General features: G+C 34.9%; 1 long non-coding RNA gene across 1 annotated transcript in view; it reads left to right on the top strand.

The window, feature by feature from the left end:
- The window catches only part of LOC105371677 (uncharacterized), a 67,447-nt gene extending 53,840 nt beyond the window's left edge, over positions 1-13,607 (top strand). The window contains exon 2 of the long non-coding RNA XR_922398.3: positions 13,216-13,607. This is a non-coding gene — a long non-coding RNA (uncharacterized LOC105371677). The remainder of the gene's footprint in view (positions 1-13,215) is intronic.
- The last annotated feature ends 214 nt before the right edge of the window (positions 13,608-13,821 follow it).

Genomic DNA, 13,821 nt, shown 5'->3' with positions numbered 1-13,821 from the left:
TCTTTTCAAGCTATACTTTAATCAATGACTTCTCACATCAGTAAATGTGATAAAACTTCAATACCCAATCAACTTGTAATAATCCAAAAAAGAAAATGCTAGCCTGGATCAGCTAGGTGACTCTTTTAAACATAGAATTGAAGATAATGTGTTAAAGCCAATGCCTGATTTAAGGTATCTCCACAGTTGCTCCGATAATTCTGTTTTGAAGCACTAGATGGCACTATGAATTCACTTAATTTGGAACCAAACTAGCCCATCCATAATTTCAAAGAGAAAAAAAGATGAGACTTTTCCTTAACTGATTTGATAGTCTGACACATATGCTTAAGGAAATGAATTTATATGATGTAACAGTTATTTCATTAAGTCTCAGTGAAAAAAAGCATTCTCTTTTGGCAAGGAAAATGTGACTGTTTCTACAAACACAAACCAGTCAAATCAGCACTCAAAATCTAGTCAGAGAAAAAAAGAAAGTCAGACATGCTTGTTGGGCAACTTGACTGCTTTTTGACTGACTTAAATATTTTCTTGACTACTTGACAGTCAAAACAGTCAAGCCAGTTTGTGTGTGTCAATACAGACTGTACTTTATATGTTACAAAGTGAATGTCTATGTTTGTTAGATTTCTTTCCTGCCATCTTTGTAGTCTGGCTGGTTAGCTCAGCTGGTTAAGGCAGTCTACTAATGAGGCCAAGGTCACTCTGGTTTCCATTCCTGCCTTGGGGGATATGTTCTCCTCACAGAGGGAAAGGCTGCTCTTTGGCTAGGAACTGCATTCTTCACTCTGGACAGCCATCTCACAAATGCCTGATCTTAAAAGATTACTGCATATGGAAGTCTACATGATCAGAATAAACACATCATTATAAGAAGATAAAAACAACTCAAATTGTATATTGTATTAACAGCAGAACCACGATGTCATTTTTCTAAAGAAAGGACTCAAGAGAGTCCTTCTAAAATCAGCTTCATTAACTAGCGAAATTCTATTTCTTGTCCATCCATTCAAATATTGTATATTGTCAAGAACTTGCTTAGGCAGAGAGCTAGCTACTGGAGAATAGAGTAAGGAATAGCCTGTATCACAATGACTTCACAATATAGTGAGGAAGATAAACAAGCAAACAAATATTAGATAATGTGATAAATACTACTATAAAGGTATATACATAAACTTCCAAGGAAGGGAAAATAAAGTCTAATTTCCAGGCAGTTATATGAGCTAGATCTCAAAGAACTGACATGAATTCAACTACAGTATATGGAAAAGGGAATTCCAGGTGAAGAAATAGTGTGTGAAGACAGAGAGATGTCTGAGTGGCATGTCTGCAAACAGAGAAGTGTTTCCTGTGCCTAGAATTTTGAGTATGTGGTAAGAAGTGGCAAGAGCTGAGCTGGTAAGATAAGAGATCTAAATAAAATCAAGGGAGTTTTCCATAACCTAAAAACTTTATGAAATCCAAAGTCTAAAATAAATATTCAGGAGTTCCTGCTAATAAAAACAATTGATTAAATAAGAAAATGGGGGGAGATTAGACACATCTTTTGTCCAAAGAATCCCAAATTATGCAGAAAAGTCACCCCACCCAAGAAGGTGGAGCATAACTCCTCACTCCATGTAAGTCATACGGTGACTTCCTTCTAAACGGCACAATTCAGAAAAAGTGGGGAGGAATAACTTTACCATAGACAAACTTGACAAACACACCTCAGCCAGGTGATCAAGGTTAACATTAATAGTGATAAGTCATTTTGATTGTACTTTATGGCTATGGTCTTCCTCCCCAAAACTCATAAACCCAACCTAACCATGATATCAGGCAAATCCCAACTGAGGTACATTGGACAAGATACCAGTACTCCTTAGCTAGGCATGATGGCACATGCCTTTGGTCCTAGCTACTCAGAAGGGTGAGGCAGGAGGATTGCTTAAGCTCAGGAGTTTGAGGCCAGTCTAAGGCAGTACATCAAGACCCCATTACTATGTAAAAAAAAAAAACAGATTTAAATATACTTATTTTTTTAAATGCAACTACATCTCAAAATTTTCATAGTCATCAAAAATTGTCACAGTCAAGTGGAACCTAAGAAAACATGACAGTTAACCTATATATGACAATCTGGATAGGATCCCAGAAAAGAAAAAAAGCAGTAAGTTAAAAACCAAGGAAATCTGAATAAAACAAGGACTTTACTTAATAATGTAGCAATATTCATTCATTAATTGTGACAAATGTACCATACCAATATATGATGTTGATAATAGGAGACACAGAGTATGAGATATATGAGACCTTCCTGTACTATCTTTACATTTTTTCTGCAAATATAAAGCTGTTCTAAAAAAATCTGAGTCAAAAATTGTCATTTTGAATAAAATTAACATACTATTTTTCAAAAAATACATCCAGACAATGGAATATTACTCTGCACTAAAAAGAAGTGAGCTATCAAGCCATAAAAAGACATAGAAGAAACTGAAATACATTACTAAGTGATAGGAGCCTATCTGAAAAGGCTATGTATGATTCCTACTATATGACATTCTGTAGAAAAAGCAAACTATGGACGACAAAAAGATCAGTAGTTGTCAGGGATTGGGGCAGGGAGGGAATGAATAGGCAGAGCACAGAGGATTTTAGGGCAGTGAAACTATTGTGTATGATACTACAACGGTGGATACCTGTCATTATGTATTTGTCCAAACTCATAGAATAGTCAACACCAAGATAAACTCTTACACATATTATGGACTTTTCGTGATAAAGGTGTGTCAATGTAGTTCATAAATTATAACAAATGTGTCACTCTGATGGGAGATAATGCTGAAGGCTATGCTTGTGTGTGGGTAACAGGCACATGGGAAATCTCTGCACATTTCTCTCAATTTTGCTATGAACCTAAAACTGCACCAGAGACAGGGAAGAAACATAATGAAAAGGAGAATTGTAAAGCTTCCAAGAGTGATTACTCTTTCTTCATGAGCCAACATGGCCCATTATACTTAATGAATATGAACAAGACAAACTCAGTTCACATATTTCCAGATGATGAAATGAAGGTTCAGAACCATTGCTTCCACAGTTGTGGCAGTGGCAGAGGAACAGTGGCCTCAGGGCCTGTACTGCAAAATGTATTCCCTGTACATTGTGTTCTATGCGAATGGTGTCCCTTGGAGTTGTACCATCTGGTAGAATTGCAGAGGTCATACCAAATCCAGATCTTTTGAATTCTAATTCTGTTTACTTGTTCCTCATTAGGGACAACTGGATAAGAACTAAAAATATGTGGGAGTGTTCTGACACCCATGCATTCAGTGACATATTTTATTATTGCAAAAAAGCATTTTTTTTCTAGATTCTTTTTTGCTCACTCTGCAACTTACACTGGAAGTAAGAATACCATCAGTGCACCACCCAAGGGCAAAATCATGATGCATTTCTGAGTCAGCAATTGGGGGGAAATGCATTCATTTCTAGCAATACCTACTGAGCAATGCTCAGTGACAGTTCCTTAATACTGAGAAAAATGTTGAACTACTATTTATTATTGCTTTCAGTACATTTATGTTATTCAATTTGTCTACCTACTTGGTATTTATTTCTTTATCTGTTGGAAAGTTTCTTTCATCTTAGATATCATATTGAAAATTTTGATTAGCCTTTGAGTCAGTAGTTTTCAATTATTTTGGCAGTGAGCACTAAGAAATATTTTACATAGTGATCCAGTAGATAGATTCAAAGAAGCATAGCACACATTTAACTAAAATAAATATTTCACAGAACATGTAAATACAAATGATTCCTTTGTGCAATTACTCATATTCTCTTTGATTCTATTGTCATTCATTATTAAGTGCTGACTTAGACTCACAATGATCATGTCGTGACTTAGTTTAAAGAATATCTCCTTGAATATTAATTCACAAAATATACCCCCCATGCCACTACCAGGCTAAAATGCTATATTTTTAAAAAAATATTTTATATATTAGGTTTTATACTAACAATACTAAATAATGCTAGGTATATATTTAAGTTTGTAAAGCATTTTATTGAATAAAATAAATGAATGAACTTTCTAAGTTAAATGATTGAACACTTTGATAGCCAACTAAATAATTTTAACATGCCTTAGATACAGAGTTTGTATTATCTAAAAATGATGCTAAATATGTCATTAGCAAAATTTTATAAATCTAAACAGGTTTTTTTTTGTTTGTTTTTTGTGTTTGTGTGTTTGTTTTTTGAGATGGAGTCTTGCTCTGTCACTCAGACTGGAGTACAGTGGTACAATCTCTGCTCACTATAACCTAGGCCTCCCAGGTTCAAGCAACTGTCCTGCCTCAGCCTCCCAAGTAGCTGGGATTACAGGTGCCCACCACCACGCCTGGCTAATTTTTGTATTTTTAGTAGACACGGGGTTTCACCATGTTGGCTAGGCTGGTCTCAAACTCCTGACCTTAGGCAATCCACCCGCCACAGCCTCCCAAAGTGCTGGGATTACAGGTGTGAGCCACCACGCCCAGCCCTAAAAAAGTTTCAAACAATTGCCTTAACTTTGGAAATAGTATTTTACAGAATGCCTCAAAATGCTAGTATACTAAATATTCTAAAATGTAATTTAATAACCATTAGTTAATATAATACATGTCAATTCATTTTGATTTTATAAAAATTGCTAAATGACATGGATCCTAATTGTGTAATATACTTTGTTCAGAAATATATTGTAAAATGACTGGAAGGACTATCAATACTAATAAATACATGTAAGTTACAACAAACTATAGATTAAATCTATGTGATTCTTGTCTTCGACACAAACTTGAGTCTTGATTTGCTTTCAGATGAAAATTCCAAAAACTAATGCTTCAGAGTTTCAAGATAAGAATTTCTAAACTTCTCTCTTCCTTTTCTGCTTTCAACCTCTCTTCTCTTCTATTCTGTCTTTTTACTATTCCTTCCATTCTCTATCTTCCTCCTTTCCTTCCCAAATATTTTAATTCAAAAGCCAAGGGGCCCAGGAAGGTAGGCATCTGCCCGAGGTGAGGGATAGGTCTGCAGGGGCCACAGCAGCCCAGGGTGAGATACTGGAGCTGGAGTAAGAAGAGGAAAACAGCCATATTCAAGGTGGGGATGATGATGTACACAGAAGCACTCTTTAACAAGATGCTTTAGTTCTGAGCGGAATGAGAAAGGTATCTGTGCAAGGATGAGGGCTAGCAATAAGAGTCTGGTTATATATAAGAACTTGAAATGAAAAAATGCATTAGGAATAATGAGGGTAACGTTGGAGAAGGAATTACAAATAAGGAAAGGGAGAATAGAATGGACAATTTGGTAGTGAATTGGAATTGAAAATATTGGTGTGTGAATTCAGTTTTTTAGTGTAAGTAGCAAGATATAGAAAATAAATACAGATATAAATGTGTATATGTGCTCTGGGGACTGTGGTGGGGTGGGGGGAGGGGGGAGGGATAGCATTGGGAGATATACCTCATGCTAGATGATGAGTTAGTGGGTGCAGCGCACCAGCATGGCACATATAAACATATGTAACTAACCTGCACAATGTGCACATGTACCCTAAAACTTAAAGTATAATTAAAAAATAAATAAATAAAAAATAAATGTGTATATGTGTATGAATGCATGTATGTATACACCTACACCTATTTTCTTGATCTGTTAACTGAGATGGCAAAACGAACAACAGTGTCCTTGTAGCAAAGAACATATCTAGCAGTCAGACTGGTTTCTAAATACCATGTTCTGGGCCGGGCATGGTGGCTCACGCCTGAAATCCCAGCACTTTGGGAGGCCGAGGCAGGCGGATCATGAGGTCAGGAGTTTGAGACGAACATGGCCAACCTGGTAAAACCCTGTCTCTACTAAAAATACAGAAAAATTTTGCTGGGCATGGTGGCTGACACCTGTAATCCAGCTACTCAGGAGGCTGACGCAGGAGAATTGCTTGAACCCAGGAGGTGGAGGTTGCAGTGAGCCAAGATCATGCTACTACAGTCCAGCCTGGGCAACAGAGCAAGACTCCATCTCCAAAAAAAAAAAATAATAATAATAATAATTAAATAAGTAAATACCATGTTCCTCCATGGTTACCTGCAGAATGGTTGATTCTAGGCTTGGCACAACAGAAGTAGTAGGTAAGTCAGAACATTTGGTTTTGCCAGAAAGTAAGGAAGTGCTCAAAGAATGATGATGACATGTCATGTCATAAGAACACAGAAATCGGCATGAAAGGGTTTCCAATGGCAAAATCCAAGATAATATAAATATGAAAACATGACAGTAGTAGATAATAATGCATTGAATAAAATGGGAATTTATGAATCCATACTGACATTAATCAATTAAGTAAATTAATTTGATTACATTAAATTGATTAATAAGGATATTTTGTGGGGCCATATTTTGAAACTCTGTAAATATCTTGTTCCTGATGAATCTTTCAAAGAGGAGAATATAACTTTCCTGTGGAGAAGACCCAAAGTTCCACTTTAATCAAAGAAATTCAAATTAACATTAATGAGACCAGTTGATACTGTGAGCCCCTGATAGCAGGCAATGGGAAGAATTCTGTCATTTCTGTTTCATTTCTGCCAAAGGTGCAAAAGTTGAATCTAATCATTAGAAAGACCCAATATATTTACTTATTCGCTCAATCTCTCTGTATATACCCAATCTCCCAAGTATCATGGCCACTTGATTGGCCCCAGCTCTGCCATTATATTCTCAGTTTCAGAGTCCCATTGGTCCTCAGCCCTACTGCTTCCTCCAGGGAAAAAGATGCTCTACCTCCTATCCCAAGTTACATTAACTTCAGCAATTTTTATTTTAATTTTAGTTTCATCAAATGTTTCTGCTAACAGATGAAAACAAATGTATACTGGAGAGACTGTAATACATGGAAAGTACCATCCAAAATTGTTGCATTTTAGTTATGATAAATACCTATAATTTTCTGTGTTATTCCTAATGGGTAGAAAGATGTTATGAATGGGATCATAGTGCCCATATCTTGCATTATTAAATAATATAATCAGTTTCTCTAAATATTTCCTAAATTTTTATACCAATAAACATCCTTTTGTTGGTATCATTTTAATGTCTGCATATTATATTTCATGTTAATTTATTTAACTGATCTGAAATTTTTGGACATTGAAGATGTAGCCAATGTTATCCTATCATACACGAAATGTATACTTTACATAAAGTATGTTTATGTATGTAAACATACATAATGTGTGTTTATGCATGTAAATACACATAATGCATGTTTATGTATGTTTATGATGATTTCTTAGGATGTGGAATTTTTGGAACAGAAAACATTTATAAGATCACAATATTTATCACCAACATGTTCTCTAGATGTATTGTAGTCATTTTTACTCCCACAAAAAGAGTTTGGTAGAGCCACTTTCTCCACAACTCTTTTGTATAGGCTACTACAATTTTAAAAAATATTTTCAATTTGTGTTCTTACTTGTTACAATAATCTTTGATTTGTGTGAGATCAAGCATTTTAAACATGTTTATTGGCTTTTATTTTTTTCGTGAATTGTTTGTAACCTTTCTAAGCTTTCTTTAGAAAGCTGTCTCTTGAACATTTATATCCTTTTTCTGAGTTCACTATTAATCCTAATCAAATCTTGTATTTCTCTATTTCAAAACATCAAAGTAATAGTCTGGGGATTATCATTCTGTCCTTGAGAAGCCTGTAGTGCAGTGGGAGATGCAGACATGCAACAAGAAGCATGATACAAAATGAAGAGTATGTTATCAAACGCTTGTAAAGTTTGGTATGGGAATATACTCACAGAAGTTGCTAATTCTCCCTAGAGGGTCAGAAAAGACTTCAGAAAAGAGACTACATTTGAGTTGGACTTTAAGGAGAAATGGGAGCTTTCCACGTAGACAGGCAAAGAAAACATCTAGGGCAGAGAGAGAACCATGATCAGACACCTGAAACTATGGAAGTTAATGACATGTTTATAAAATTACAAAGATTCTGCTATGGCTAGAATTTGAGCCACCTGGTGTAACACATACACAAACACACACTCACCTATCTGTCTGTCTACCTATCTATCATCTATCTTTCTATTTTATGTATCCCAAATTTTCCTTTCTAGCCATATATAGAGATGTAAGACTTTCACACCCTATTTCATTTATCAAATACTGTATTAAAAGAATAAATGTGGAAGAGATATTCTCTTTTCTAATAGCTACTGATGAAAACACTTTCGACTGAGTTGTACTTTTTAACTTATCAGCCCAGGCCTTATAATTAGAGATCCTTTATTCAAGATGATTTTTAATAATGATCTATTCATCTCTTCATTTATGTTTAGTGTTTTTAGAGAACCCACTACTATGGATTGAATATCTGTCCCCTCCAAAATGCATGTTGAAATTTAATCCCCAATGTAGCAGTATTGAAAGGTGGTGCCTTCAAGAGATAACTAGGTCATGAAGCCTCTGCTCCTATTAATGAATTAATCCATTTGTGGATTAATAAATTAATAAACTTTTATGGGAGTAGGACTAGTGGTTTTATAAGAAGAGGAAGAGAGACCTGAGCTAGCACACTCAGCCCGCTCACCATGTGATGCCCTGAGCCACCTCAGGACTCTCCAGAATCCCCACCAGCAAGAAGGCCCTCCCCAGAAGTGACACCCTAGCCTTGAACTTCTAGCCTCCATAGCTCATAACTATAAGAAATAAGTTCCTTTTTAAAATAAATTATCCAGTTTCAAGTATTCTAAGCAATAGAAACAGACTAAGACACTTAATGTGTGTTAGCAAGCTATTTTAAAATTCAGAGACTCGCTTTACATTAATTGCTTTTAACAAATGTGTGAGATTCTTATGGATATGTCACAACTCTATTGATAAGAAGATGTACTTATCCAAATGGAACAATAAGTAGTCTTTACACTTCCTACCAAAGGTTTCTCATAAAAACAAAAGTAACGCTGTAAATGACACTCAATTTTGATGGCCCAAACCCTTTTCTTATGTTTCTATTCTTTAAACATATTATATTACCCTGTTTCCTAAATATCTATTAATACACTTACATAGAATTTCAGTTTTAATTTAAAACACAGTTCTTTTCCGAGTACATAAATATCTCGGGCTTCTTATCCTGTGTGTGCTCCTTGTCTATCTAATTTTGAACAAGTGTGCCGCATGCTAGTTTTAGCCACACACTATATCTGAAACTTTACAAATATATTTTAATTAATTTCAATTCTTAAGCCTACAGAAATACATCAAATCATAAATTTATAAAATACTTAGCTGAACTCCTACTCTGTGAAGGCTCTTGGAAGGTGCTGCAGGAAATACAATTTTAAGGCAAAGTCTAACAACTAGAGCAATTTTCAATACAAAGTCAATACCAATTATGAAAAATTAAATAAAAACACAGAAGTCAAATAACAATCAAGAAAATTATTCAAGAGTTGTCACAAAGCAAAATATGATTAATTTCCAAGCATGCTGCATACCCTAGATGTATAACATTTCAGACAAAAAGAATTCCTAATGGAACGACAATGACTTTGAAAGGCATCTTCTTCATTTTCAGAAAATAAAGCCAATGGTACTTATCAACATCAATTAAATATTTTTCCTATTTTGCAGAAGATCTTTTATTTATTTACTTTCTTTCTGCCATTTCTTCCCATTGCCATATCTATGCAAAAACGTGGCAGCTTCAGTGATGGTGGAGCCCACAACTTCCTTTGAAACATAAATTTCCGTCGAGTGTCTCAACTTTTCCTGACCACACAACTGATTCCACCATTTTGGTTGAGTTAACAGTTCCCTGTCAATTAAATGACTGAATTACTTCCTTGTGTCACTACATAGATTTATACTAGGTGAGATTCTCAGAATTTCTCCAGAGAAGCCCACCTATTGGCCATAACACCAGCATACACTCAACAGCTGGCTCCATGACACAAATACTGCGAGTGTTAGGAGACTAAAGTGAGTTCTGGGTTTCCAATTTGCCTACTGCCAGTGTTGGATGTTTCCTCCAAATTCAGTCCCTCCCAGTGTGAACCCAGTCAAAACATTTCCACTTCTAGATTAATTCTGTACAAGGGAAAAGATAGTAGTAACATGGCAATTTGAAGAATGAAGAATCTTAAAAAATTGTGAATTTTAAGTTCAAATGTTATCATTTTTTATAACATACGTTCAATCTAGAAATAAAATTTATTTTTCCTTTGAAAACCATTATTACTTATTATATGCCATATAATGATTAACTTTTGGGAATGTATTTTCATATATTTGTACATATTTATTTACGAATAAATGAATATATGTCTGTGTATGTATTTTTCCCCATGTAGGTGAGTAAAAATGATCATAATCCAGAATTAAATATAGCCTTAATAATATTGTGTTGGATGCTGGCATGAAAATCATAGGCAATATTTTGAAATTGGGGAGCTGTTTCAAATTTCTAAGTAGCAGAAGTTAATGGACATTATTCAATGAGATAAAGATGCCAGAGAAATTCTTATAGGCAAGAATTTTATTACCTAAGCAGGTTTTTCCTTCTCACACCATATAACATAATGCATTCAGCTAGGCCAGGTTTGCAACATAATATAATTATGGACAATTTTCCTACAGACCCACATGGAAGGTTTTTAAAAAAGTAATCAACAAGGATGGAAGATTCTGAGGATGTGCATTTATAAATTTAATGACTGCTCTGTGGAAAGCTGAAGTAAACACCAGACCACTTGTCTCCTATCCCTGCTTTTAGCTGGAATGCAGTTCTACGTGAATAGCATAGGCTCTACCTCAGCTTCTTAGTGCTTGATTTGTAAAATGAGTGACTGCCACATGGAACAGTGTCATTTTTATGGAGGCAGCCTAGCCTAACAAGGATAGAACTCCTAGTGGTTGTTCAAGACAACTGTGATTTGGTTTTTGTTTTATTGACTCTAATGAGAAACTATAAGAAAAAAAATCAGACTTTGGGGTATCAATTTGTTTATCTACATTCAATGGAAATAATCTCTGCTGTTCCCTATGGCAGTATCTCAGATGACACTGAATTTTTACTATGTCATCAGCTAATGGGATAATAATACACCTTATTTATTTTTTTATTATTATACTTTAAGTTTTAGGGTACATGTGCACAATGTGCATGTTTGTTACATTTGTATACATGTGCCATGTTGGTGTGCTGCACCCATTATCTTGTCATTTAACATTAGGTATATCTCCTAATGCTATCCCTCCCCCCTCCCCCACCCCACAACAGGCCCCGGTGTGTGAGGTTCCCCTTCCTGTGTCCATGTGTTCTCATTGTTCAATTCCCACCTATGAGTGAGAACATGCGGTGTTTGGTTTTTTGTCCCTGCGATAGTTTGCTGAGAATGATGGTTTTCAACTTCATCCATGTCCCTACAAACGACATGAACTCATCATTTTTTATGGCTGCATAGTAATCCATGGTGTATATGTGCCACATTTTCTTAATCCAGTCTATCATTGTTGGACATATGGCTTGGTTCCAAGTCTTTCCTATTGTGAATAGTGCTGCAATAAACATATGTGTGCATGTTTCTTTATAGCAGCATGATTTATAATCCTTTGGGTATATACCCAGTAATGGGATGGCTGGGTCAAATGGTATGTCTAGTTCTAGATCCCTGAGGGATCGCCACACTGACTTCCACAATGGTTGAACTAGTTTACAGTCCCACCAACAGTGTAAAAGTGTTCCTATTTCTCCACATCCTCTCCAGCACCTGTTGTTTCCTGACTTTTTAATGATGTTCATTCTAACTGGTGTGAGATGGTATTTCATCGTGGTTTTGATTTGCATTTCTCTGTTGGCCAGTGATGATGAGCATTTTTTCATGTGTTTTTTGGCTGCATAAATGTCTTCTTTTGAGAAGTGTCTGTTCATATCCTTCGCCCACTTTTTGATGGGGTTGTTTGTTTTTTTCTTGTAAATTTGTTTGAGTTCATTGTAGATTCTGGATATTGGCCCTTTGTCAGATGAGTAGATTGCAAAAATGTTCTCCCATTCTTTAGGTTGCCGGTTCACTCTGATGGTAGTTTCTTTTGCTGTGCAGAAGCTCTTCAGTTTAATTAGATACCATTTGTCAATTTTGGCTTTTATTGCCATTGCTTTTGGATAATACACCTTATTTCTAAGGCAGTTCTCTCTAGTTTTTTTCTTTTTGGATTTTTTTTCTTTAGAGAGATATTTGTAAACTATTTTTGAGGTTTATTTTTGTCTTATTTTTGTTTTTGTTGTATTTGAAAATCTACCAGAGGCCATGTACAAGTTTAAAAGAAATCTATTATTATCTAGGGTATACCATTGGCTTCATTAGAGAGAGAATGTGGAAGGGGTAGAACAGTGTATCCACCTCAATACACCAGGACAACATATTTTCCCCAGAACATCAACAGAATGAGAATAAATGCAGATCCAAAATCCTATAAGGAACGTTCAGATTCATTGTTCTGAAACTGTCAAATACTACATGATCTTAAAATAAATGTGTCATGGATAGAGACTAAATATTTTACATTCTAAGTGTTATAAAGTAATGAAATATTTTTAATAATTAAATATGTTCTGCTTTCAATTTCATAAGATTCTTCTTTGGTGAAGCTCAATTACTGTCATACTTATCATCTCAACTCCATAACATTCCTTTGCACTTGATCCTAAAATTTCTCAAATGACTTTTAAATGAAAAAGTGTTAGAATCCAGTCCACAAATAAATGTGAATTTGTAAGAAATGCTTGAGAGAGGCAAAAATGTGATACATTAATACCATTTGATTGCATTTTAAACAATTTGTTGTTGATGGACGTTCCTCATACAACTACAAATTGTCAAAAAAATCTTTTTCATCTAATATTTTTCAGAATAATTTATAAGTGCCAAAACATTCTATAAAGTGAAGATTCCTCTTGCTGTCTTTCTCCAACTGTTTTTTTTCTAAACATTTTAATCCTGCAAATAAATTTTATTTTAAACATTGACTTAACTACATTATTTCAACTTCCAGAGATAAGATTTCATTTCCAAGTGCTCCAAATATGGATTTAACTCCTGGTCATTTATATGTTGGTCCAAGTAGAGGACAAGATGAAACCAGTTGCATTTTTTTTCCTTTTAGATGCTTGCAGCCACTCAATGACATCACATAGCTGTCTGAGGCTCTAGAAGGTGCTCTGCTGCTAAAAGGAGCATTATAAAGAGTGTTTGAATACCTCCATGGGAACAGAAAAGCAATGTGTGTGGAAGGATATTCAACAATGTGTTGTTGGAAGACCAAGTGCATTTTGCTGAAAACCTCCATAACAAGAACAGAGACTTGGAAGAAGAGATTCAAAGAGGATAAATATATATTAAATAGATTCAACTGCTTATTTGGGAAGATCTTTACTATACTAGATACTGTTTTACTTTGTCTTAACATATGTATTACACTGATTCAACTTCTTATCATAAATGGAATATGGTTGTTTTTTCTGTCAATAAATAGATCCATGCTTCATATTAAGGGAATGAACTTTGAAGTCAGACAAACCTGGGTTTATATCCTTGTACTACCAATTATTAATTCTGTTATTTGGGACAATGTGCTTAAACATTCTAAATCTCAGTTTCCTTTTCAAATCAATAATAGTAACTACTTCATAGAGTTACACTAAAGATTCAACAAGATAATCTATAGAAAGTACTTAGCACATATTTGAACCATGATAAGTACTACATAAAT

Source organism: Homo sapiens, chromosome 1 (assembly GCF_000001405.40).
Source record: "Homo sapiens chromosome 1, GRCh38.p14 Primary Assembly".
Lineage (NCBI taxonomy): Eukaryota > Metazoa > Chordata > Mammalia > Primates > Hominidae > Homo > Homo sapiens.
Note: the sequence above shows the minus strand (reverse complement) of the source record. Positions and strands in the feature narration are given on the sequence as shown.